Below are 27297 nucleotides of genomic sequence, written 5' to 3'. Positions count from 1 at the left end.
TTAGAGAAAGAAAGAGGGACATTTTCTTTCTAGAGATAGGGACAAAGGTGCCTCTTATCTGGGCTGACTTCCAACCACTGGCAATGAGGGGAGGAGACCTATCTTTTTCTTTTGTTGATTGAAGTTATCAATGATGACACCAATGAACAGGTTCAGGGTGAAGAAGGAGCCGAAGATGATGAAGATGACAAAATAGATGTACATGTAGATATTGTCCTCATACTTAGGCTGCTCATCAGGCTGTCAAAGGACAGGATAAAAGGAAGAGAATCAGCTCCTAGTTTGGAGTTTGACACGCCAAGGCCATCAGCCGTAACTGTGACCATTTGAGCTGCTAAACATCTTGGGGTGGGAGAGCCCTAGATTCTTTCTGCCTGCCTCCTTCTCTACACTGGCATGGCCTGCCTTGAGAGGACACTAGTCGTCCTCTGACTCATGTGGAGAACATGCAAATCATGAGGCCACAGGGAGGGAGGGCTGTCTGCTAGGAGCCATACTTTTGCTATGAAGCAGGATTGAAGCATAGACAGCTTCACTGGGGCCACGTAAAAAATCAACAGTCTAATCATCGGGGGCCAATGTAAGAGAGTGATGACTTACTGAGACGAGGAAAATGATCTATAATCAATAACACAAGCAATAAATGTTCCAAAGAGAAACGTCAACTCCTCCATTCCTTCATCCCTTCCTCTTTCTTGGTGGGCTCGGTATACCATGCTGCTTGCTTTCCAGCCATCTGAGAAGGTGGTATTTTCGCCATGTACATCCTTACCTTCCGGGAATCTACAGCTGCATACATGATGTCCATCCAGCCTTTGAAGGTTGCCTGGCAAACAGAGTCAGTCATTAGACGGTGCCTATAAAGGGAGTGGATGGGAGTCTAGGCAGGGGTCCCAAAGGCCAGGCTTAGGTTCAGTGAGAACACAGAACAGGGGTTTGGGTGCAGCCTCCCTTGGACACAGAATTTTCTGTTTGTTACTACAGGTCCCAGGAGGGCTTTGTTCCTGAAAATAACAACAAAGTTTGGCAAATAAACATGTTGAAAATGGTAATGGGATTAAGGCTTTACGAAAGGACTCAAAAACATGGGCCTGAGAAGCCTGCCTAAAGTTAGGGAAAACTTTTATGAGTGAATGGCAGGAATCTACTGAAAATGCTTGGAACTTAGCATTCCATTCCACTGAGGAATCATTTTTTAAAAAGGTGGTAAGCAAAAAAAAAAAAAAAAAAAAAGGTGTTAAGCGATGGGGGTTGGAAAAACTCATAGTTGGATTTAACAGAAAAACAAGATCAGACTTACCCTTTACTAATATACACATGTATAGCCTATGTAGTAGCAATACCAGCTTTATCCTTGACAGTCCCTTCCCAATTCTACTCCTTCAGTCTACTATATCTAGACTGATTTTGGAAACAAATATGGATAATCCATGTACTATTCACCGTGTTTTATGTACTCAACCAGATTCTAAGGTTTTTTCAGGGCACAGGAAGGTCTTTATTCATCTGAGGGCCCTAGTACTGTACTGTCAAGCACAGCATCTTGCATATGGCAGGGACTCTGTGACTACCATGTTTGACTGGCTTGTGGATGTGCACTGGTTTTCTGGAGATGCTCCAATGCGGATTCAATTTGTGGGTCCAATTTTTTGAACTGGGATACAACAGCAAAAAAGCTTTGGGGTAGGAAAAACTACAGTTCATTCCATGAACTTTGCCTTCTACTATGAGTTGACAGTGAGTGCTTACTATATGTAAGGTTAGGTTGAGAGCTTCATCTGTTATTGCAGTTAGTCTCCCAAGAACTGTATGATATAGGCATGGAAATATAGTAACAAAAATACTTAATAGCAATTTTCATTAATTAAGCATGGTTATATGCTGGGAATTGTGCTAAGAAATTTTTAAAAATCACAAATCCTCTTAACAACCATGCAAAGTGTCATTATCTATATTTAATAGATGAAGAAACAGAGAATCAGAGAGGCTGAATAATTTGTCCAAAGTTACATATCCAGTAAGTATCAGAGTATGTTCAAATCTATAACAGTCTAATTTCAAAGCCTACGAGCTTTCACTGCATTATGTTGTCTTGTCACACATTCTGAAACACTGGTGAGAGAGGCAGTGAAAACTAAGCACGAAAGAATGAAATTAGGCAAAAGAAAATTATCTAGATAGTTAAATCCTTCCTTACTGTGATACATTAATCTGATACCTTTCTCTGGGGTGGAGCTGAGGTGAGTGTGGCACCAAGGCACTGCCATGGTTTTTTCCTAAGTTAACTGGAGTGTGGTGAGTATGTACTATTATTTTGCTCCATCACAATTGCCATTACTTTTTTGTCTATGTGCTTATCTTGATTTTTTTTGCCCTTAACTGCACTCTCTGACCGGGAAGGGAAGATGATCTCTCTGCCACTTTATTACACTGCAGGAATCTTTATTTGTTGCTGGGCACAGCTCTGTTCCTGAGCACAATGAGAGATTTCCTTTGAGTGAGATCTTGTAGAAGTCAGAGAATACTCAGGAAAGGTATCTCTCTGAAACTGGTTTGGGGAACAATACTGTTTTCTTGGACTTATTGAGAATAATCCTGATTCTAGAAGTAGGGTTGAGAAGAAGCCAAATGGGATTTGTGCTAGCTGCCTGAATTTCACAGAACTGAAAAAACAAAAACAAAAACACTACTTACTACTTGAAGAAGGGCCAGGTATCCTGCCCCAACATTGTCAAAGTTGATCTTCACGTTCTTCCATCTGATCTCTGTATTGTTCCCCTCCATAAGCTTTTCACATTCAGTTTTATTGTTGACATCTTCAATTTCAAATCGGATTTCAGAAGTCTCATTAAAGCAGTAGTGGTACTTTCCCGCAAACAAGTTAACTCCCATGATGCTGAAAATCAGCCAGAAGATGAGACACACCAGCAGCACATTCATGATGGAGGGGATGGCGCCCACCAAGGCATTCACCACCACCTGCATTGGAAGGGGAGGTTGCTCAGTGTTGGGTGGAAATGAGAGCAAGCACATTTTTTGATTTCCAGGAGGGGAATGACATTGTGTGGCTTGTTCTGTATGGAAACATTACATTCCCTTTGGAATTAGAGTAACTGGACAGACTGACAAGTAGGACCAAAAATTTCTAAGTCTAGGACTATATTGAAGGAATTTTAAAAAGTTACACCTTTATTTTGACTAACACAAATTCCCCAGCCAAGCTGACCTAGGTCTTCTTTCCTATGCATCAGCCTGGGACTGAAAAATTATTTCTTAGTCCAGTCTCCCTCTTCCTCAATTCATAAAATATGCCCAATGGGAAAATATGAGTAACTTTCAGCTTGCTAGTTGCCTTTCAACAGACATTCCCCCTCTGAAAAACAAGGTATAATTGTTCAAAATCACAGAGAACTACCCGTTGTGGTTAATAGAGAGCCAGTTAACAGTACATAATGTCTCTTTTATGACTACGCAAGGCCAGTTATTTTATTTCAGGCAATAGCTGAGCATGCATATTTTGCAGGCTCAAGAAAAAAAAAGCTATATTCCCTCTACCAAACAGTATAAAATAAAATCTGAACAGATGTGCTTTCACTCAAGGTTCATTATACTTCTCCAGCCTTTTTATTCTGACTTTGTAGGCTTTTAAATCAGAGTCGCTCCCTGCTTGGCTAATGCTGTCGTCTCTCTGCTCATTCCAGGGCTTGACTCCACTCATCACAGTGTATTAGAAATAGGGATGACTTAAGGTTTTTAAGAGAGTTTTGGGTTAGATCATTACTGCTCTTGAAACTAAAAAAATTGGCATATTGTTAAAAAGTCACTGACTACAGTAAGCTCAGGAATAAAAAAAAAGCAAAAGAAAAAAACCCCTTAGGAATCAAAGTTTCTGGGTTGTTTTCAACTTTGATTTTGCTTTACAGTATCAGTCAGAGCAGCACACAATTTAGAGTTTAGGGTTTCCTTATCTTCTGGTTTTGCCTTAGACTGCATTGTCACTCATCAGGACATGTGGCTGATCAGAGCTACCTGTTCTATCTTGTGTAAAAAATGCAATGATATTCTTCTGCTAAGGAGTCACTCTTCCTTTTAGATTAAAATATTCATTTTGTGTTTCTCCAATTCATATATTAGGGCCTTTAGACTGAGAGGCAGTTATTTCTTAATTCTTAGACCAAGAAATCTCTTCTAGATCTGACAGCTCTGTCATTAAAGTGTTTATTACTTTGTTTATTAAGTTGAGCAAGGAAAGCCAGGATATCTGAAATCTGGAAAATCTTCACTTTTTTTGGAGAATGATATTCATATTTATTTATGTTACCAAATTTGTCATGTACCCAGATTTGAATTTACCTCCTCATTCTACAGTTGCTCACCCTTTGGCGGGAGCACCAAAAAGCAATGAAATGTGCAAAAGAACAGGCAAAAGGAGGATGATCCACAAATGGAAAAATAATTTCTCAAACAATACGGGAGTAGATTAGGTAAAGATTCAAAAGCTCAAGTCTATGTGACAGCATTTCACAGCAGACCTTAGGTGGGAGATCGTGACTTTCTGTTAGACCATTACAAATGTGGCACAGGAAGTAGGCCCCAAAGACTTGAAACCAAGGCATGCTGCTTTTTAATCTCAATTCAGAACCTACTTCCTCCAGGAACTCTTCTGACTATGCTTCTACTCAAACCCAGTCTAACCTGTCCCACATACTATGGGTTACAGTTAAATATGGGTTAATATTTACCATAGGGAAGAAACATTAACGTGATCTCTTTGAACTTTTATTCTCATAAAGTATATAGAAAATTTTACATATTGATCCATTTGATCAAATGAATCAATATACAAAAATATTCAGAGCCTTTTTCTCTGATATGATATAAAATCCTATAAAATCCAAAGTTTTATAAGATGCAAATGTACTTTAATCATAACCAGAGGAAAACTTTTTATTTACTTTTTTTGAGAAAGGGTCTCACTCTGTCGACCAGGCTGGAGTGCAGTGGTGCAATCTTGGCTCACTGAGAAGGGGAGGCCCTTCTCAGGTTCAAGCGATTCTCCTGCCTCAGCCTCCCGAGTAACTGGGACTACAGGTGCGTGCTACCGTGCCCAGCTAATTTTTGTATTTTTAGTAGAGGTGGAGTTCTGCCATGTTGGCCAGGTTGGTCTCAAACTCCTGACCTCAAAGTGATCCACCCATCCCGGCCTCCAAAAGTTCTGGGATTACAGGCATAAGACACCATGCCCAGCCCAGAGTTGATTAAACGTACTAATAATTCTTCCTTGCTTTGAACATTAGCTGATAAGCTGCAATATGTTAAGCAGAAACTATTTAACTGTGCTCCATATGTAATGATCATTGTGCTGTTATTCTCAGCAACCACTGGGCAAGAGATCATATTTCTTATTTTGAACTCTCACACTAAAGATATATTATAAATGATAATTCAAATTTCCACTGGTAGTCACTTAATGAATTTGATCCTCTCTTCTCAAGTTCTCTAGTTACTCTACATTGCCTTTAATTATCATGAAATCTATTATTGTTAAGAACTAGACATGGAAATATCACTCAAAGCTAGGTTTTAGTAATCTATAAAAAGTTACTTTTATCAATGGAAGTTTATACTTGGCAATTGATACAAATCCCATTTAATTGATGAGAAAATTCCAATGGATATTAATTCTTACAGTATTTTTGTCTTCTCTATAATGTCTCGGACATTATTGTTGCTCAATAAATACTATAAAATCTGTCAGCTGGCTTTTAATATCTGGCAGAGGGAACATGGCTTTAATGGACAACTATGTACTGACAATCAACAAAAATGCATGCATGTTTCATGGCACTAATATTATATACCCTCAAAAATTTAACAGCACAGCGAAATCTTTAAATGAAGATTACTATGGAGGAGAGAAAAGCAAAGAACTACATTAAGTATTCCTTTGCCTATAGCACAAGTGCTTCAGTTTTCCTGGTCTTTGGTTTGAGGAAGAAGAGGAGACTGAAGTCAGTGCCCCAGGACAGGCTTGGGTCATATGCTCCCTCTCAAGCGAAGCTCTGAGTCTGTAATTGGAGCAGCACAGTGACAGTTGAGCCCATCTGCATGGATGGTGTTCAGTTTATGAAGATTTCTTATTTAAAATATTCTAAAGGTAATCTCTCAAGTGTTGGCATATAGAAGAACCAAAACCAAAGAATAAAAAAAAAATGCCCCATAGAAAAACAACATTTAAATAAAACATGTGTACCTAATTCTGTTTATTACTGGGGGACTTACTATACGCTTAGCCAAATCCAATCTTTTCTTCTTGCAGTTACTCTCCCACAGAAGGGCTAGGAAACCCACAGGGCAGGAATGGATCCCTGATCCCTTTTCACCTGTCCAACCAGCCATGGTCAATACTGTCTGTTAGTTGGCTGGAGTCAATCAAATGAGGTGGCACTCTTATTCCAAAGCTTCCCTTAATGCATTTATTGTTTTAAATTCCAGCTTTGGGTTCAAACTTGTTCTTGACCATATTATCTTACCGAAAAAAATCTTGATGTAGACGCTTTTCAAATAAAACATCGTAATGCTTTTCAAATAAAATTATCTACTGTTTTGATTATTCATTCGGGACCTCCAAGCTCCTAAACTACTTTCAAGTTGACAAATGAAAGTTTTTAGGGGACTGGAAACTGAGGGTCCAGGAAAGGTACAGAAAGAAGGGGCAGCTAAAGGGAAGAGGTGTGGCTCCCAAAACGGCTCCTGCATCCAGGTTATTCAAATAACTGCCTCATGAGCAAACTGGCCTCAGCGGCCATGAGGACTGCTTCTGTCTGCCTGGACAGGAGTGACAGTAATGAGCATCTAGATGGAAATAGTTAGTAACAAGCGTCAGATGGGTCAGATGGGCATTTCTTTTGTAGGGGGATGGGGGGATTTCTTCAGGTATTACCAATCTCTTTTTGGAAGATCAGGGATCACCGTAAGGGGATGCGGAGGAGCTCAGGACAAGTACTGTCTTCAGTGGACTTTTTTGGTTGCATCTTGTCCTCAGTTTTTCAGTCACCAAAGTGGATTATCAACTTTATAACAAAACCAGTATAGTTTATTAAAACATTTTATTAGCTCCCTCTGGAAAACATGCAAAGGTGCAGGGAGCAGAGAAGAACATTTTAACCACATTTTCAATCTCACCGTGGCTGTCTAAACCACTGAATCTTGTGTAATAAACTCTCTTCCTAAATTTAGCCTGAGCATAGCAATGACCTTATTGCGCACATTCTAAAACCTCTCTTATCTGTGGGACAAAGTCTTAAAATCCCAAGTTTTTTGAAAAATTAAAATAAATTTACACTACTGTGGAACTGCCCTTCCTGCAGATGGTTTCAGGAGAGTTGCAGAAAGCTTACATTTAGTACACCAAACTGTGACTGTGCTACAGAAGAAACATGAATTTGTTGCAAAAAGCATTTGTCTGGATAAATTAACATAATAAAATTCCCAAGTCCCAATTAAGTTTTCATCTTCCTATACAACTGTGGGTGGCTTCACGGAGTAACAGCCAGGGATCACAGATGAGGAATGAACGTAGCAGCACTGTCCTGGTATCTAGTTTTTCCAATCGGTCTTGCTTCACGTAGACTATCGTAACAGTTTAATTTTTATTCTTACATTCTGACGTTTGCACATTTAAAAATATATCCTCTGGTTTGCTCTCCTGCATGTATTCAACATCTGAATTGAAGCGAGTTTTCTTGGTCTCGTTAAGTATAACAGACCTCTCTCTGATCACCACAGGACAACTATTACCACCAAAGCCAGTTGCCCCTTTGATTTTAAGAAATTGACTTTTTAGTGTGTGTGTGTGCGCGTGCGTGCGCGTGCACGCACGCACACGCACAATTGTTTAAACCAAAAGAGACAAGAAAATGGCACCAAGAAGGCACCTTGTTTCTAAGTTGGTAGGGTGACAACACCTTGTATTGTTTTGGGTGGAGTATCACCAAAGCAGGAATAGGAGGTATCAAGAAATTTCAGGAGAACTAGCTGATATTCAGTCATCTAGCATCATACCTGGTTGTCATTTTGACAGTGTTAGGGGACCATACAGCATGGGCAGAGGGGTTGGGGGTGAGGAAAAAAGCTTTGCTATCAGACAGAGGCTGCCAGTCCATTTGGGACTGGGCTGAGAACAACAAGGTGCAATAAGAGGAATCTGAATAGAAAGAAAAGCATTTCTTCTCCCAGGGCCATGCCAAATTCTGCTCCATCCCCAATTCCAGGCCTGCCGTCATATCTTCAAGCCCATTCTCAGCTGCTTTCTCAGTGACCCCAAGGCCACAGTCCCCACCTGGCTGATGCCCCTACACAGCACTCTCCCTGCCTGAAGCTTGTGCTTTTCAGTGGGTCTGTGGGTTACAATTCCCCTTCTTTGCACCTGGTGATTCTCCCTATTAAATCAACAGCCCAGAAAGCCGCCCCGAGTGCTACAGGTAAGCCAGGCCAAATGAGAATAGCCAATGTTAACATGTTCTGCGATGGCATGTTGTTGGGGGTGGGGCCAATATTAATGTGATGAGGCAGCTTAACGCAATTCCCCTTTGCACGGGGCAGGTGTGGGGGAGAGAGTGGAGGATCAAATCAGCAGCTGCATCACAGAATTCGTGTTTGAATGATCTTTCCACCATGTGATCAGTTCTAGCATGCTTAAACAGTTTCCACTGGCATGCAGAAGGATCAGCTGCTCTTAGTATCTTACCCTCATCCCTTCAAATCGTGATAAGGCTCTTAAGGGTCTCAAAGCTCTTAGGGTCCTAAGGGACTTTATGGCACCTAGTTCCGAGTAGCCCAGGGCATTAGCTATAAGGCTGACTAAAGAGACCTACACAGAAACAGAAGAGAAAAACAAAAACAAAAAAGGTAACCAAAAAAAAAAAAAAAAAAAAAAAAAAAAAAAAAAAAAAAGAAAGAAAACAGAGGTTCCAGAGTGTTAGAATAAAGCCCCTAGCACTGCAGACACAGATTGGGCCCCCCAGGTAGAGGAAGTGGGTAACACCAGCTGCCTATTTCAACTTGACTCAAATGACCTGGAAGGAAAGGTGGTTGAGAGGCAGAAGAAAAAACAACAGGGAAGAGAAAATCGAGAAGGCGGTAGAACATACACACAAGTTGGAAAAGGGGAGAGGCTGACAGGAGAGGGAGAGAGTGAGGAAGTTCCACTGGAAGGAGAGGAGCCTGAACAGACGACAAGAGCCTTACCCTCGCCCTTTACAGTCTCTGCAGGTCCCAGAAGTCCCCATTAAATTAAGCCAGACAAATTTAATGGTACCTATGGAAAAGAATACAGATAAATACACATACTCCACACAAGCTGCCCCCTCCTCAGCTCATTCACCATTGGCTTTCCAAGAGGGACAAGCTCTTTTACTCCTGGTTGACAAAAAACCATTTGTTTGAGAATCTGATGCGTCACGACATTAACAACAATGAAAACGTTCAATAAGTACCATGGCTGACTTGCAGTTCCCAAGAACTGTGGCTCCATGAGAACTCGCTTAAGTGAGTTCTATCTCTATCTTTTAAATACATCCTTCTATCTCTCACTTTTAACTAAAATAACCTTCTGACTTTTAACTACAACCAGGACCCCTCCATGGCCACAAGAACTTGGGTGAGTCTGGACAACTGAATCCACACTTTTCCTTATAATTCTCATTCTTTCCTTCCAGAACAGTCCAAAATGAATTATCCTCAGGTCTGTCATTTCCATGTCAATCTTCTATAACTTTTATCATTAGAATAACAGTTGGAAGAATTATTGGAAAACAAAATTTGATAGATGAGGAAATTGAGACCCGTACACAAGAATTTGCCCAGGGTTACACTGGCAGTTCTGCAGCCAAGATTAAAGACCTCCACTGCCTGACTCCCAGGCCAATGCTTTTTCTTCCACAGACAGGTCACGTCCCCAGTGGGCAGGTTACACAACAACATTCCAACAGGACTATCTGGACAATCCAGAGTTGAATATGTTGCCGTACCAGGGGGAAGAAGCCTGCAGACCTCCAGGCTTAGACGTATGGTCAAACACTTTCCTGCTCTGCCAGAGGCAAACTTACCTTGTTCTACCAGAGCTCTCAGAGCAGTTACCACGATGCTTTCTCAACACCATGCTAACTACATTTATGCCTTCCTGGGCCTGAGCTGAGAGTTACAGAATTTTTCAGGGGAGAGCAGACCTAAAAATACCTTTAGTTAGTCAAACTCCAGAATGTTTGGGGTCTGGGTTTCTATTTTTTTTTTTTTTTTTTGAGACAAAGTCTCACTCTGTCGCTCAGGCTGGAGTGCAATGGCACAATCTTGGCTCACTGCAACTTCCACCTCCTGGGTTCAAGCAATTCTCCCTGCCTTAGCCTCCTGGGTGAGTAGCTTGGATTACAGGCATGTGCCACCATGCCCGGCTAATTTTGTATTTTTAGTAGAGATGGGGTTTCACTGTGTTGTCCAGGCTGGTCTCAAACTCCTGACCTCAGGTGATTCGCCTGCCTTGGCCTCCCAAAGTGCTGGGATTACAGGCTTGAGCCACCATGCCTGGCTGGGTTCTGGGTTTCTTACAACACAAATTCTAGGATAGGTTAAGATATTTCCATCAACAGCTCTTAAATTCTTCCTACTGGGAAGTGGTGGTTGCATATCAGCTTAGCTTACTTAAATTGATGATATTTTAAAGAAAATTTAGAGAGGAAAAAAAAAGAAACAATCTACAAATTAGTTTCATTTGCTGCTTTTTATCTCTATCCTAGGGCTTTAATTCTTTGATCCTGTGTCTGTGAATTGCACACACACAATTTTTAAAAAAATGAAGACATTTATAATTAAGCAGCATGACTGGCAGGGGGTAGAAGCGGAAGGTGTATGACCTAGCAAGGGTCAGGATGAGCAGGTTTAAAGGTTTCGATTTAAAAACAGGTATGGCCAGGTGTTGTGGCCGAGGTGGGTGGATCACCTGAGGTCAGAAGTTCGAGACCAGCCTGGCCAACATGGTGAAACCCCGTCTCTACTAAAAATACAAAAATAAATTAGCTGGGCGTGGTGGTGCATGCCTGTAATCCCAGCTGCTTGGAAGGCTGAGGCAGGAGAATTGCTTGAACCCAGGAGGCAGAGGTTGCAGTGAGCGGAGATGGTGCCATTGCACTCCAACGTGGACAAAAAGAGAGAAACTCCATCTCAAATAAATAAATAAATAAATAAAATAAAAAGGGATATGGACCTTGATCTATGCATGTGCTCATAATCCACCAGTGTAGTTATCTTCTCTGAAGCCCTGGGCAATGTCCAAAGCAAATCCGGAAGTAAATGTTGCCCTATTAGGCTACCCTAATTTTCATGAAAAGGCAGATGGTCCAGAGTTCAATGTCTGCCTAAACTATGGTCCACAAAAGCCCTATCTAGAACATAGTAGCACCAACTAATCCCTTTCTCTCCATCTATCCATCATTATCAATAAGAATTTATATGGAGGTATCTACTTCCCTATTATTGCCAAGTGCAGCCAACTCTTAACTCCAAAAGAATTGAAAGTTGCCAGATTCTTCATGAGGCCTTAATAAGTATATCTGAAGGGAAGCTATTCTTTCTCAACCAAGTACCTGGACTCAACAGTCCCCTGGGTCAGCTTCATCTTACGAAACTTTGTCAGGTAAAGATTGCAAGAAACTAAGCTTTGAGTGGCTATAGGCACCATATAAGGTAAGAAGATCCCAGCTCTTCAGGGTGGGTGACTTATCTGATAACAAATAGGCCCACAGTGTGGAGAATGAAGGAGGAGGTCTAAAGGCCAATTCAGTGGCTGGCTCTAAACGTTGCTGGGAGATAAGCTGTTACTCAGCTGATTAATCTGGCCCAGGACAGGATCAATAAGGGTCTTATCTGGGTTATTCTTTAGTAGTTGAGGGCTCTCTTATAATCCTCTGAGTCTCTGTTAAGCCCCTCCTGGAGATAATCCTAACATTGCTTAAAGTATTCTTTAAGGAAAGAATCAAACCTAAAACAAACAAACAAACAACAAAAAAAAGGAATTGAGGAGACATCAAATTCAGGGCATCAAGCTGGGCGCCTTGGCACGTGTCTGTAGTCCCAGCTACTCAGGAGGCTGAGGTGAGAAGGCTGCTTGAGCCCAGGACTTGGAGGCTGCAGTGAGCCATGATTGTGCCACTGCACTCCAGCCTGGGCAGCAGGGTGAGACCTACCTAAAAAAATTTTAAAAATGAAAAAAAAAATAAATTCAGGGCATCTATGGTTGCAGGCTGGAAAAAAAGGGGGAAAGACATTAGGTGATTTTTCCAAAATGATGTGAATATTTTCAAACGGGGAATGTTTTCAGCAGTCTGAATTCAGGCCAAGGCAAGTAGTCTCTGCAAGTCCCCACCTCCAGAACTGACAGGCTTGCTGATCTCCACATACAGTGGGATAAATGTCCTGGGGAAAAGATGCCAAAATTCTTTTACAGGACACAATCTCCAATGCAGCCAAGGACCTGAGCAAAACAGAATGTTTTCCTTGTTTGGGAACTCATATGGATTATAAATAAAAGGAATTAACCTTGGAAGTCATCTGGATAATCCCATGACTCTGAAAAGTACTCACAGCTTTAAGAGGCAACAAGGAAGAATGAAAATCAATTAGGGAAACAAATGCGATGAGTAACAGACTCAGACATCAAGTCACCAGTGGATGGTGCTAAGTTAGGACCTAACCTTCTGGATGTTCTAAAATGCCAAAGAAATCAGACACTTTACTCAAATGGACACCAAAAAGTCCAGCAGTTCCAACTGTTCAGGTGACAGTCCAAGACTAATTGTTCATCCACAATTCAAAAGCGGCAGCGATTGGAGCCACTGTGATGGCCTGGGAATGTCCCCCCACCTAGCACAAGCCTGGAGTCAGGACATAGTTGCTATGGAAGCTAGTGTAAGCTCCCCAGGGGCTGGGAACATGCTTGCAACAAGGATAACCTCTGTTTCTCCTTATTGCTTCTGGAGCAATTCTACACAGATAATGGCATTCAACTATATTATTTACTAATAACTGGCACAGAGGTCTTCACAGGAGCCAGTTGGGCACCACAGTAATGTAATGATCAAGCAACCCCCAAAAGCTAGAGGAGCTTATGAATTAGTGTCAGTTGGCTGCATGCCTGTCCTATGCTCTTTACCCCCTTCCACCTTGCGTATAGCCATAAAAAAAGTTTGTGAAATAAATGCTGGCTTGGCACAGTGGCTCATGTCTATAAACCCAACACTTTGGGAGGCCAAGGAGTTCCAGACCAGCCTGGGCAACATGGTGAAACTCCATCTCTACCCAAGATACAAAAATTAGCCAGGCATGGTGGTGTGTGCCTGCAGCCCCAGCTACTCGGGAGGCTGAGGTGCAAGGATCGTGTGAGCCCAGGAGGCAGAGGCTGCAGTGAGCAGAGATGGCGCCACTGCACTTGAGGCTGGGTGACAGAGTAAGACCTCATCTCAAAAAATAAATAAATGCTAATGTGTAGGACTGTTAGTGCTTTAGCAGCTTATTTGTTTAGCAGGGGCATGTGGGATACCTGATCAATATCCTCAAATTCTGGGTAGCTCACCCTAGGGAAAAGAGAAGAACGTGTTCTGGTGAGGGTAGGTCATGGTGGGGAAGCTCTGTTTCAAATCACAGCCTCCCCAGGCAGCTGGGAGTACCAGTTTGAGTTCAGGTGTCCCACCTGACGCCAGGTAGTCCTGAGGAGCTATTGTGAAATGAAGACTCTATGGCACTTGCCCTTTCTCCAGAAAGAGAACTGGCCCAGTCTCACTTTGGCTCTCTGGGTCTTATCTCAATCCCATTCTTTAAGTCTTAGAGCTCCAGCTTTCTGTCTGTGGGGGGTACAGGTCCTTCCACCACAGGATGGTATCAACAGTTGCTGGAGGGATGCTAACATCTCTCGCTGCGAGGGTCTCACGTTGGTACCCTCTAGGGCTGGGGTCCTCACCTCATTTAGGCATTTCCCAAAGGCTGGCTTTTTGAAATGGGGATGCAACTGAGGGCACAGTGACAGTTCTGGGAAGGGGGTCATTAACCATGGAAATTGCAGACAATGTATTGGAAAAGAAATCCATTTATAGAGCAGAAATCATGGCTCAGTATTGGGCACTTGCCATCAGAGAGATTTCTATGCTGCTCTATCCTGGATCCCAGAGGTACTCTACAGGTAGTTCACCATGCAGCCAATGAAACCTGCATTCTACATGACCAGTCTAGTCTCCACCGTTCTACTTTCTTGGCACTTAACAGCCCTCAGAAGGAAGTAAATTTTCCACAGGCCCTGGTCCTACAAATCCCATTCATCCTTTCTTTAAAATGCTGACTTGGCTGAAAGAAAGAAGCTTTAGTTATTACATAGAATAAGAGACCAGTCATCATCCTTAGTAAAGCTGACAAGGGACAAGTGATGGTGGGGTGAGAAAGAGAGGATGTCACTTCCAACCTGGAAAAAACACAGGAGGTCATGGCCAGCAAACCTCGGAGATAGTCTTGGAACCTGGAGGAAAAAAGGATTTCTCAAGTTTCATGATCACTGTAGAATGGCAACGTGTGGGAAGAAGGGGGTATTTTATTTCAGTATGAACTCCCCTCACCTAATAAACTGACTTGTTTGGATGAGTCCGGTATCAAGACTTGAGTTGGATGGAAGTGTTCATGGGAATGGTCAGCAGGAGAGACCACAGATCCCACTACCACCTTCGTCCCAACAGCCCCCATCTCATTCTCTCACCCCTTCTCCCAGCCACAAAAAGAAGACATCCTGCTGGCCTGGGGCAAGAACTTTCCTGTCCCCAGCCTAATAACAAGGGCCTTTGAGACCAGTGATTCCACTTCTCCTAATCTCTGAATCTAAGTTAAGCCAAACCCACCAGACTAAAGAGTTGGTTGGTTAGTCCCCCTGGAGCAAATGCAGGGACTTCAGAGTTCCCCTTCCTAATATGAAGATCTCAGTGCTATGAAAGGAACTTTACCCACACCTACATCTACATCTTGATCTATAACCTGGGCCCAGGGCAGCTACTGCCATTAGAAAAAGAGAGACCCCTGTTTCTGTGTTCCTGCTGGAAGGGGTGGGAAACAGAAAGCAAGACACCTACAGCCACAATGAGGAAGTCCAGCCAACACCAGGCATTGGTGAAGAACTTGACGAAGCCATAGGCTGTCCACTTGAGCAACATCTCCAGGATGAAGATATAGGTGAAGACTTTGTCAGCATATTCCAGGATGGTGCGGATGGTCTTTCTCTGCTCAATGTAGATGTCCTCGAAGGCCTAAAAGAGAGGCAGCAGCTGCCTATGACAGTGCCTAAAGGCAAGCAGGCCACAGGGAGCACTGCTATCCTCAGGGAGCCGTCCCACATGGGCTGGCCTGTCATCAGCTCCCTGTCTCCTTCGCTTTACTCCCCGACTACACAGGCTTTTTATGTTTTAATAGGTTTATTGAGATACAATCCACACATCATAAAATTCAGCCATTTAAAATGGCTTTTAGTATATTCAGAGTTGTGCATCCATCACCACAATCAATTTTAGAACATTTTCATTACCTCCAAAAGAACCCCCACACCCTTTAGCTATCACCCCCTAAACCCCCAACCCCCTAGCCCTAGGCAGCCACTCACCTACTTTCTCTCTCTAGATTTTCCTTCTTACGGCTGAGTAATAGTCCAATATATGGATATACCACATTCTGTTTATCCTTCATCAGTTGATGGACATGTGTATTGTTTCTATTGTGAACAATGCTGCTGTGAACATCTGTGTATGGGTTTTTAGGTAGACATGCTTTCATTCTCTAGGGCATATGCCCAGGAATGGAATTGCTGAGTCATATGGTAACTGTTTAATTTTTTGAGGAACTGCCAAACTGTTTTCCAAAGTGGTTGCATCATTTCACATTCCTACCAGAAGCATATGAGTGTTCCAATTTCTCCACATCCTCACCAATACTATATATAAAAGAAATGACAAAATCTTTCCTCCTTTTAGTTCCTTGACACCACAGTATGGGTGGAGGGTCATACAGGTGGGAGATACTCAGGTGAAGAAAATCTTATCACTATTTTATTTCTTTGGCATTCATGAATGGGATAATCCCTTATATGGTGGTGTGAGCATTCCCATCTGCAGAGTGGTGGACTATACAGGTATGGTGCCAAGAGGAGGGAATTGCTAAAGCATAGGACAACCTGTGGAGGTGGGGAGGAAGTCCTCTGTGATACAATGGGAAGTGCTTGCTCTGAACAGCTCCAGAAGAATAGAATTGGGTTGTCTGCAGCGTCACCTTCCAAAATGGAGGCACATGGATATCAGGTGCTCCACTTTCTCTCTTTTTTTTTTTTTGGAGACGGAGTCTCGCTCAGTTGCCCAGGATGGAGTGCAGTGGTGCGATCTCAGCTCACTGCAACCTCCACCTCCCGGGTTCATGCCATTCTCCTGCCTCAGCCTTCCGAGTAGCTGGGACTACAGGCACATGCCACCACACCCGGCTAATTTTTTTGTATTTTCAGTAGAGATGGGGTTTCACTGTGTTAGCTGGGATGGTCTCAATCTCCTGACCTCGTGATTCGCCCGCCTCAGCCTCCCAAAGTGCTGGGATTACAGGTGTGAGACACCATGCCCGGTTAATTTTTTTTGTATTTTTAGTAGAGATGGGGTTTCACCGTGTTAGCCAGGATGGTCTCAATCTCCTGACTTCGTGATTCGCCCGCCTCAGCCTCCCAAAGTGCTGGGATTACAGGTGTGAGCTACCGTGCCCGGCTCCACTTTCATCAACAGGCAGTGGGGGGGACAGGGGTCATGGGTTCCACAGTCCTACTCAGGGTCTCGGTGCAAATAAATCCCCTTTGCTCAATCAAAAAGGCAACAGCTTCCATGTCAGGTTTCCCCTTAACCCCATCTGTTGGAAATCCCTTCTATAATCCAAGGTATGTGAGATGCCCAAGACTGATCTCATGTCACTGAGGGCCCTAATCCCCACCCTCTTTAGTCCCATTGTAACCACGTTCTAGTTTCTTCTTGGACATTTTAGCTGTGGCTTCATTTTGTTATTTTTTTTTTTTTTTGAGATGGAGTTTCGCTCTTGTTGCCCAGGCTGGAGTGCAATGGTGCAATCTCGGCACACTGCAACCTCCGCCTCCCAGGTTCAAGCAATTCTCCTGCCTCAGCCTCCTGAGTAGCTGGGATTACAGGCATGCACCACCATGCCCGGCTAATTTTGTATTTTTACTAGAGACGTGGTTTCTCCATATCGGTCAGGCTGGTCTCGAACTCCCAACCTCAGGTGATCCGCACGTCTTGGCCTCCCACAGTGCTGGGATTAAGGCGTGAGCCACTGGACCGGGCCACTTTGTTATTCTTAAATCTCATGCCTACTGTTGCACAGGGTCTGCAGGTACTGAACCAAATATCCTTTGCTTAATCATTAAGACAAATAAAAACTGTCAAAGGTGAGCAGTAAAGAAAGTTCAAAACCTTTAGTTCACTACTGCTTTATTCTTTTTTGTAGAGATGGGAAAGAGAAGAGCCAAATGATGGGTCATACTGTTTAGATTTTTGTTCACTAGATTTGAAGAATAACAATGACAGCAATAATAAAACGCCTTTCTCCAATCACTCGGCTTAGTCTGATCCTCTCTTTTCTTAAGGGCAGAGACCATGCTGTCATTTTGGGTGCCTCTGCGGCACCTCAGGAAGTGTTGTGTGAATGCTCGTTGATGCAACAAGTGGCCCAGGGGCAGGCGGGGTGGTCTGGCTCCCCTTCACTCAGATCAGTGGCTACCAAGCCATCTTTTTTGCCTCCTACTTTAATCCTGACACCTTCCTGTGTAAACCTTCCCCTTACTTCCCATGGTCCTCTTTTCATGAAAGCTGTCTTCTTCACCCTTGGGCTTGTCTTTAATACACACTGCTGCCTCTCTCAGCTTTTCTTATTCTCCTGCCTCACAAGTCAGTGAAACTTCCCAAGTCACTGTCAAAATCTTTAACACTGAATTTGGGGTTTCTCCCTTGCTATGTTTTTTTTTTTGCTTCCAGATTAAGCTTTGATTCCACACCTACATGAATGTGCCCACCTTCTTTAAATATACTTCAACATTATGCATTCTTCACCTTTCCCTTAAGGAAAGTGTGTACTGTCTCTAGTCCCGGCAGTCCTCAAAACTATTCAACCAGCAAGCAACTCCCTCACACCACACCCTGTCCAGGTCTCCTCAGTTATAACCCAGCTAAAAATAAAAGCAAATGCCAAGATAATTAGTCTCAGCAGTGGAGGAGCCTGTGTGTTCAGGGCCTTGTATGTTTCACTGATTAATAAGCACTTAGGACAATGTGAATATAAATAACCTTTGTACCAGAGATCTGACTCTAAACATTTGCTAATGCCATGGGTTCTCTAAATCCAGTAGGCTGTGAAGGGACAGTAAGTGGAGGAATAACACCTCCCTCCCATCCTGGGTAACTGAAAAGCAAAGAACAAGAGATCTGGGGTATTAGGTAAGAGAGGGAAGTTCATTTTAGGGGCTGCTAAGGATGGGGTAAACCAGGCAGTGGGGACACATGAGAGGGACAGTGCTAAGAGGATCACAATGTGAACAAGTATGGATTCTAATCCCACAGGCTCAAAGCAGCAGCCTAAAGCACTTTAACAGATCATTCTTCTTGGGACCACAGCCAATCTGTTTTCAGAGCCACTGGGCTTTGGCCTCAGCCTTTTCCCACTGGCTTCTCTACACCCTTCCCCAGCCAATCCCTCCTCACACTCTCCCCTGGACCTCACCAGGGCGCCACTGCTCAGCAGAATCATGAAGATGATGAAGGTCTCAAACCAGTTGTGCTCCACGATGAGGAAGCAGGTTTTCCGCAGGATCCACCAAGACTTGCCTAGCCCTTCCTCGATGTTGACCTGGCAGCACTTGAACCGCTGGACACAACCTGGCACCAGCGGGAGAGGCGGGTCAGACCGTGGAAACGTGCCCCGCCCAGACCTGCCCTCTCCTCCATCTCCCAGGCCCTGCCAGGTGCTGCCCCACCACACAGCCAGGAGGACAGTGGCTGAATCAGAATGTCTGATTCAGAAATGGAGAGGGTGGCAGGGCTGGGGCTATGCTGCAAAGGCTAATGGGGCAAGGCCCTCAGGAGTCAAGAAGATGTCCTACAAAGAAGCAGTGAGAGGGAGGAGAAAAGGGTAGTCAGGAGGCAGGCACAGCCATGACAGAACAGGACATTCTAATGGAAATTTTTGGGCTGATGCCAAGAGAAAATGGATGATGAAAAGTGTGAGAATAGAAACTTGTTATATACTTGTCAGATACAAATAGGGGAAACAATCTAAGTTTCCTTCAAAATGGTGGGGTGGGGAGCAAAGTTCTTGAAGATAGCCACTGAGCTGCCCCTCACCCACCACTAGCCCTGGCACAACTGTGTCTGTGAGCAACACGAGTGTCCCCAGCCCATCCGCTCCTCATCCCCTTTCACCTTCTGTGAAGCAGGCATCTGGATCCAAGTATTCCTCAGGCTGTTCCACAGGGACCTCTTCTACTTCTGGTTTGATATCAATGGTGCTTCCTTCAGAGGAGCTGGTGTCATCTAGTTTCTAGACACGCAAGGAAAAGGGAGATCAGGCAGCTCTGAGGCAACATGCCCACTCCACACTGAGAACTCTGCCTCTGGTGGGGATGAGGGGCCAGCTCTGACTCCTCTCTAGAATTCTTACTACAACTCGCGATAAGCAAACCATATCCACGGGCCCCCAAAACTTCTGTCCAGATGGGATATAACATCAAAACCTACTCACGGACGGCAATGACCCACCCAAAGCTAAATGCGGCTATAGGTTGGTTTCAGGGCTATAACTCAGATGAATGGCAGGGAAGTACTCGAGGGCTTATCCCAGCCTCTGACCCAGATGATCCAGAAGTGACACAGGTGGGTCCAGGATCATCTTAGGATTCCACCTCATTTAGGAAAGGCCTAGAATGATACTGGGATGGTGGAATTAGTTCTCCAAGTAAATTGGTTATTCCAGAATCTCTCTACCAAGCCCATAGCTGAACCAATCCCCAAGGCTGACAGCACCCTGTTTGCTCTCACACAGGATCAAGGCTGTTTCTAGGCTGGGACCTTACATCTTTGCTGCCTTCAGGATCCGACTCGCTGCTAACATCCTCTGTGTTGAGGTTCTCAAAGTCAGACTCGCCCACAGCAATGGGTACCCGTACAGTCAAGTTGGGGTTGTTGATGAAGGACATGTGGTCCTCATCAATGATGTACTTCTCCACGCTGCTGCCAATGCCGCTGGTTGTGCCATTGCCATTCTTCTGGAAGTCACCATTCCGGTGGATGTCTGCACCGGTGTGATTGGCGATACAGTTGGCCTTCTTTTCATACAACTCATCCAGAGGCTTCACCTCATCAGCCTCACGCTGCTTAAAGTGGGCCTGCATGAAGGCGTGCACCTTTAGTTTGGTCCAGGCCACACCCTTCTTGATACGGATCACTGAGATCTGGAGGTTGTTCATTTCCCCATCGTCATCTGTGGCAGCCAGGTTGTCTGCACTGAAGGAGCTCAGGAGCAAGGCCAGAAACAGGTTCAGCACCTATGCCAGTAGCATTGGAAAAAAGGAACAAATGCAGAAAAGTTATCCATCGAACTCAGGGTTGCAAACTGGAAGCCAATGGACTTCACGTGACAGACTCAAAGAGGCTCTGTTGTGTTGTGTTTGGCCCACGTAGTATTTTAATGCTCATGTTACCAGGTGGGAATGTGTTTGGTTTTGGTTGTAATACAAGGAGTTTAGCACCTCTTTTCTTGGGTCTTTTATAGTTTTACATACATATATATGTACCCGAAAATATATTACTTCTCTTATAATCAGAAAAAACAAAGGCTGTATCCATTTTGGAAGGACATTTCCCCAAAATAAAAAGGTGAATATACATTACTGGGGAGGGTCACAAAGTGTACAGATGCCACATATTCATGAGCAGAGTTTGAGAGGACCCACGTCAGAAAAAAAAATGAGGCTTGAAGTGCCATCCTTTCATACAAAAAACCAAGAAGGTAGAACTGAAATACACTTCATGTCATCATATTTTAAGAACAAATTTTGTTTTCCTAACATTTATAAAAATAAAATCGCTTTAGCAAGACAGTGATGGTGACTTTTATATTTTTTTGCATAGCCAAATGTCAAGCCATCAGATACAAGCTTTATTTATTTTTGTTTTAATCTCCTATTTTACTACATTGAACATTAAGGTTAATTAATTTATTTTTATTAAGACTTACTTTTTAGGAGTGGGAGAGGTGCTCACTTCTTGATTTACACTTGGTCCTTACTTTGTCATACTTGGGAAGAAGAGTAAGGCATACATTTTAGGAGGAGATAACAGTCATGTGCAGAGTGGGAGGGTGGAAACAATAAATGAACTATAAGTGTTCGGATTATCTGCACCATTTGTAGAGTTAAAAAGGAATATGGTTGGTAAAATGCGGGTGAGTTGGAGAGGGCTTTGAAGGCCAGGCTGAGGGATCTGAATTTTATTTAATTAGATCCACTACTGGTTCTTGAGTAAAGGAGTCACAGATGATGACAGAGATTTGAAAGAGTCATTCAGACTAACTACATACAGAGGGGAAGGGCAGAAGTTAGGAGGCTGTTACATGCATGAATTGATAAGGGTCTGGATTAGGCTACAGAAATCCCAAATCTTAGCATGCATTAGAATCTCAGGGAGTGAGGGGTGTGGATGTTTGTTAAAAATATTTCCTTAGCCTACTCTAAAGATATTTGGATTCAGTAGATTTGGTATACAGCCTGGGACTTGGCCTTTTTTTGTGAGTGAAACTTGTGTAATTATGATGCAGGTGGTCTTGAGACCACATTTTTATAAAGTACTGAATGAATTATAGAAATGCAAAGGAAGGGGCAGATCTTAGATACTATGAAGAAAGATATCCACAGAAATACTATGAAGAAAGATGCATTTAAGACACATCAGATATTTGCTGGGAGTGGAGAGAAAAGAGACAGAAAATACTCCAAAGTTATAGGTTCCTAGAAACTAGATGGGCAGAAGGACTACTGAGCAAAGGGGAACCTGAAAAGTGTCATCAGGGGGTAGTGGTAACAGCTGATATTTATCAAGTGCTCAGGTATCTGGAGACAGCCATGGGGAGATGTCTTTGAGACAAATAAGAACAGGAGAGTGAAGAAAGGGTGGCAAAGTCAGGGCTTGAAAATGTTGATCATGCTACATACCGGGAAGCCATTGTTATAGTCACTGAAGTAGTGAGAAGACTAGAGGGATTAGGACTGAGGGAAAGGTGGCTGGGAATGGAGAATAGGAAGAATTAAACATTACAGTAGCTATTTTTTTTGTAGGTCAAATGGAAGAACAGAATAGTTGTAGCTGGTTCAGAGGCTGGTGAGTAGGAGCCTTTTACTGTCATGCTTCTCTGTGGCAGAAAAAGGAAGAGAACTAATGTGGATGAGCATGTTAAGGGACAGATAAGCTTGTCTTCTTCCAGTCCTCTTTGCCCTACACTTGCAGGTGGGATTAGGGGCCTGATCTGTAAGATAGTCCTTTCTCAAACTTTAGTGTACTTTTGAGTCACACAAGGATCTTGTTAAAAATGCAGATTCTGATTCAGTAGTTCTGATTTGGGGCCTAGAATTCTGCATTTCTAACACACTCTCCAGTGATCTTGTTGCTGCTAGTCCTCAGATCACACTTTAAGAAGCAAGGTGTTAAGATCTGTTGGTGACTCTTCTAAAGACAGAGGTAGAAGAGAGCAGGTGGACAGATCAAAGTAAAGCAATAAAGTGATTTGTCATTTATATAAATTAAATAAAACTCTAAGATGGTTTAGAGCAGTGGCTCTCAATGGAGGGCAATTTTGCCCCCCAGGGACATCTGGCAATGTCTGCAGACATTTTTGGTTGTCACAGCTCTCAGGATGCTACTGGCATCTAGTGGGTAGAGGCCAGGAGGGACGCTGCTAAACCCTACAATGCACACGACAGCCCACAACAAAGAATTATCCAGCCCAAGATGTCAATAGCACCACAGATGAGAAATTGTCGTTAAGAAAAAGGAAGGCTTCTGTAGGCGAACGGGCACAGACTTTAAAGTCTAGGTTCAAATACAAGCCCTATATTTATTTGGGAAAGTCACTTAATTTTGCTGAGTTTGCTTTCCTAACTCTAGGAAAAGGGTTGACAAGTTGTGGGGGTCATGACTAAGTAGGCACTCTGTAAGTATCTCTCTCCTCTCCTTCATTTGTACCTTAGGGTTTCTGGGCCAAGAAAGAATAAAAATCAACAAACATGACGGGTAGTAGAAGGACTAAGCAGTAGAAGGACTTGGGCTTCTGGGCCAGGGGTAGAATATTCAGGGTGTAGAACAAAAATATCTACAAATTAGTACTAACCACCAAGTTGCCAATCACCATGACCATCATAAAGACAATGAGGCACATGGCCTGGCCTGCCACTTCCATGCAGTCCCACATGGTCTCAATCCACTCCCCGCACAACACTCGAAAGACAATGAGGAAGGAATGGAAAAAGTCATGCATATGCCAGCGAGGGAGTTCACAGTCCTGGTTGATCTTGCAGACACACTCTTTGTAGCTTTTTCCAAAGAGTTGCATCCCCACCACGGCAAAGATGAAGACAATAATGGCCAGCACCAGTGTCAGGTTGCCCAGGGCACCCACTGAATTTCCAATAATCTTGATTAGCATGTTCAGGGTGGGCCAGGATTTGGCCAATTTGAAGACTCGGAGCTAAGGAAAAAAAAAACCCAAACAAAAAAATAAATGATACTCAATCAATTTTCTCACCACATGGCTAAAATAAAAACATAAAATTAGGAAGATCAGATTAAATATATTGAGCACCCTTGGAAAATTCCCAGGACTGTCTAACAGTGTCTCAGACTAAATGGGGAGAAACTGAGACATAAATAAGGGAAAACTGATTAATTTCAGAGTAGCTGAAAAAATTGTAACTAGAAGCCAGGAATACTGCCTTAGTCCCTTACTTTAGATCTGAGTCAGTCTGCTTTTTGAAAACCCACATATGAACATATCCCTTTCCTACTAATTTTCCCTTGACTTCTCACAGGACAAGTGAAATAAAATGTGATTTGTAGGAAACCAAAAGACTAGTATGGGAAGGACAGTTTAAAAAAAAATCCATCTCCTTAAAAAAGCAAACATTAAAAAATTCTAAATACCTATTTTGCTTGCCAATAAATAATCAATGGCTGATTAAAAAAAAAACCGTTGTGATATGCTTGGAATAACTTGGAGGAAAAGCACAACTCTCAAACAGGGGCAGTTCCACATACATCAGTCATCTTATGAAAAGAGCCTATACTGGCCAGGTGCAGTGGCTCATGCCTGTAATCCTAGCATTTGGGAGGCTGAGGTAGGCAGATGACTTGAGGCCAGGAGTTCGAGACCAGCCTGGCCAACATGGTGAAATGCCGTCTCTAATAAAAAATACAAAAATTAGCCAAGTGTGGTGGTGCAGGCCTGTAATCCCAGCTACTTGGGAGGCTGAGGCATGACAATCACTTGAATCTGGGAGGTGGAGGTTGAGGTGAGCCGAGATCACACCACTGCACTTCAACCTGGACAGCAGAATGAGACTATGTCTAAGAAAAAAAAAAAAAAGAAAAGAGCCTATACTGTTATTCAGAGGACAGAACTTTTAGTACCTGTCAATCATGAAATATCTATATTCTGTAATAAATAATCACAAGATCTTGGCTAACAGAGTGTTAATTATTTTTTATTTATTTATTTATTTATTTTTGAGACAGAGTCTCACTCTGCCGCCCAGGCTGGTGTGCAGCAACGTGATCTCGGCTCACTACAACCTCCGCCTCCTGGGTTCAAGTGATTCTCCTGCCTCAGCCTCCCAGGTAGCTGGGATTACAGGCGTGCACCACCATGCCCGGCTAATTTTTGTATTTTTAGTAGAGATGGGGTTTCACTATGTTGGCCAAGCTGGTCTCAAATTCCTGACCTCAAGTGATGCGCCCGCCTTGGCCTCCTGAAGTGCTGGGATTACAGGTGTAAGCCACTGTGCCTGGCCCAGCCTGAGAATTATAACGCATAAAGGCTATGGCAGTGTGGCCAATAAAATTATAATTATGAGATCATCATTAGATGTCATATGCTAACAAATAACTAACATAGAATGTAATAGGAATTTTGGTAGAAGGCAACAGCACAATTTTAACTTTTTTTTAATTGAAAAGTTATCTTATCAGAGAGTTCAATATTTACCAGGTGTTACCCTATATGCAGACATCTGGGCCACTCATATTGTTTTCAACAGAGTGGCTTTTTAATTTATTAAGAATATAAGTTCTAAGGCTACTCTCAATCCTTTCTTTTGTCACCTAGGTAATAACTATTCTCAAAAAAGTCCACTGTGGACTGGATCCTAACCAAAGAGTAGTAAACAGAGGTTTCAAAAATTTGGCAGTTATTTGTGACTTTGACTGAGTGAAATCTCTGTTTTACAAATAGTTTCACTTTTTCCAGTTCTTTCTTAGAACTGCTGAATATCTCAATGAAGAAACTTTAAACCTTTTCAGTTGCCAAGTGCTTATCTTCCCAATAGGGAGTGAAAAACCCAAGCCAATTCTAATGCCAGGGAAGCAGTAGTGACCTTTGTCTGAGTGGGATACCCCCAGGATAACTCAGTTTCTCGAGGAGTTAATCAAGATATCACTTACGCTTATGTTTACGGACAGCTGTTTTGAAGATACCATTAACTATTCTTTCAGAGTCATTTTAAGTCATTAAGAGTAACTTAAACACTAACTTCTTCAAATACATTAATACAAACTCCTTTTTAGCTAATGATAGAGAAAATAAAGCCAATGTTCAACAACTAATTTCAATATAATACAGATGCTCCTTGACTTATGATGGGGTTATGTCCCAATAAACCCATTTTAAGTTGAAACTGCTGTAAGTAAAAATGCATTTAATATACGTAACCTACTGAACATCACATCTTAGCCTAGCCTACCTTAAACATGTTCTGAACACTTACATTCGCCTACAGTTGGCCAAAATCATCTAACACAAAGCCCATTTTATAATAAAGTATTGAATATCTCATGTAATTTATTGAATACTATACTGAAAGTGAAAAACAGGACGGTTGTATGGGTACTCAAAGTATGGTTTCTACTGAACGTGCACTGCTTTTTTGCAGAATGTAAAGCGGAAAAATTATAAGTTGAGCCATCATAAGTTGGGAACCATCTGTATTTAAAAACCTTATTTTATTCTCATTTTTTGGAAGGGCTACCATGACAGAAGAAATGAAGAAAGTCATCTTTGAACAAGGAGAAATTCTTGCCATTTCAAGGAGATGTTCAGATTTAAAAAAATAGATTCACTAGCAAACCCAAATTAGACCTCACACTGGGCCTTGGGGGAGTTCATTTTCTTCATCTATTGTCTTGGGTCTTATTTTTCACTTATCATCTTAGACATCTCTTAGATTAAGCAGCATTTTCTAAAGAGCTTCTTAAAATTGATTTCTGTTTGCTTATTGATTTTTAACAACTAACTTCCATATCAGGTATTTTAGGAAAGTTTTTAGTATTTTAGTAGCTAAGCCAAATAACTGGAATTGGGAGTAAAATACAGCTAATATATTTTTTAAATCATCAAATTAATTTATGCAGAACTCTTTCTAGTAGCTGCAAGATAGGAAATGTTAAAAGAAATTGGAGAAATATGGAATACCAATCGGAAAGATCGCAGCACTGAAAGCCCCTCCACGTCTGCTAGACTCAGTTCCATTAAACTGAGGGAGACAATAAATCCGTCAAAAATGTTCCAACCTTCTTGGAAATAATAGTAGGGATCCATGGCTATGAGCTTCAGGAACATTTCCGCTGTGAAAATTCCAGTGAAAACCTAAATAGGGGGATGCAGGGGGTAAGAAAAATAAATAGTAGAAAGAGAATGCCTTTATCATTATTTTTGAAAACAACATGTCCAAGAAACCTCAAGAGTTAACCTTAGTTAAATTCTGCATCTGAAGATATCAATACCTGGATGTCTCATGAGCACCCCACCTGATGCAGGAAAATCTTATTCTCCTCTTGAATGAAGTCCCCAGCCCCAAAGTTCCCATCTTTGTTGCCAGAACCACTCAATTTAAACTCTTCAAGAGTGCAGTTGAGAAAATATGCT

General features: G+C 42.5%; 1 protein-coding gene across 4 annotated transcripts in view; it reads right to left on the bottom strand.

Annotated features, from left to right (window-relative positions):
- SCN8A (sodium voltage-gated channel alpha subunit 8) overlaps positions 1 to 27297 on the bottom strand; it is a 221632-nt gene that overhangs the window by 23344 nt on the left and 170991 nt on the right. For 2 of the 4 annotated variants that reach the window (NM_014191.4, NM_001330260.2), the window contains exons 15-24: positions 26845 to 27018; positions 23494 to 23850; positions 20186 to 20656; positions 19536 to 19653; positions 18838 to 18992; positions 15159 to 15332; positions 8750 to 8872; positions 2695 to 2979; positions 773 to 826; positions 103 to 240 (exon numbers count right to left, since the gene is read on the bottom strand). In NM_014191.4, coding sequence (NP_055006.1) covers positions 103 to 240; positions 773 to 826; positions 2695 to 2979; positions 8750 to 8872; positions 15159 to 15332; positions 18838 to 18992; positions 19536 to 19653; positions 20186 to 20656; positions 23494 to 23850; positions 26845 to 27018 — 2049 coding nt within the window. The remainder of the gene's footprint in view (positions 1 to 102; positions 241 to 772; positions 827 to 2694; positions 2980 to 8749; positions 8873 to 15158; positions 15333 to 18837; positions 18993 to 19535; positions 19654 to 20185; positions 20657 to 23493; positions 23851 to 26844; positions 27019 to 27297) is intronic. The other 2 variants (NM_001177984.3, NM_001369788.1) reach the window with 1 other exon arrangement.

Source organism: Homo sapiens, chromosome 12 (assembly GCF_000001405.40).
Source record: "Homo sapiens chromosome 12, GRCh38.p14 Primary Assembly".
NCBI lineage: Eukaryota > Metazoa > Chordata > Mammalia > Primates > Hominidae > Homo > Homo sapiens.
The sequence above is the reverse complement of the archived record's forward strand: the minus strand, read 5'-3'. Positions and strand labels throughout refer to the sequence as shown.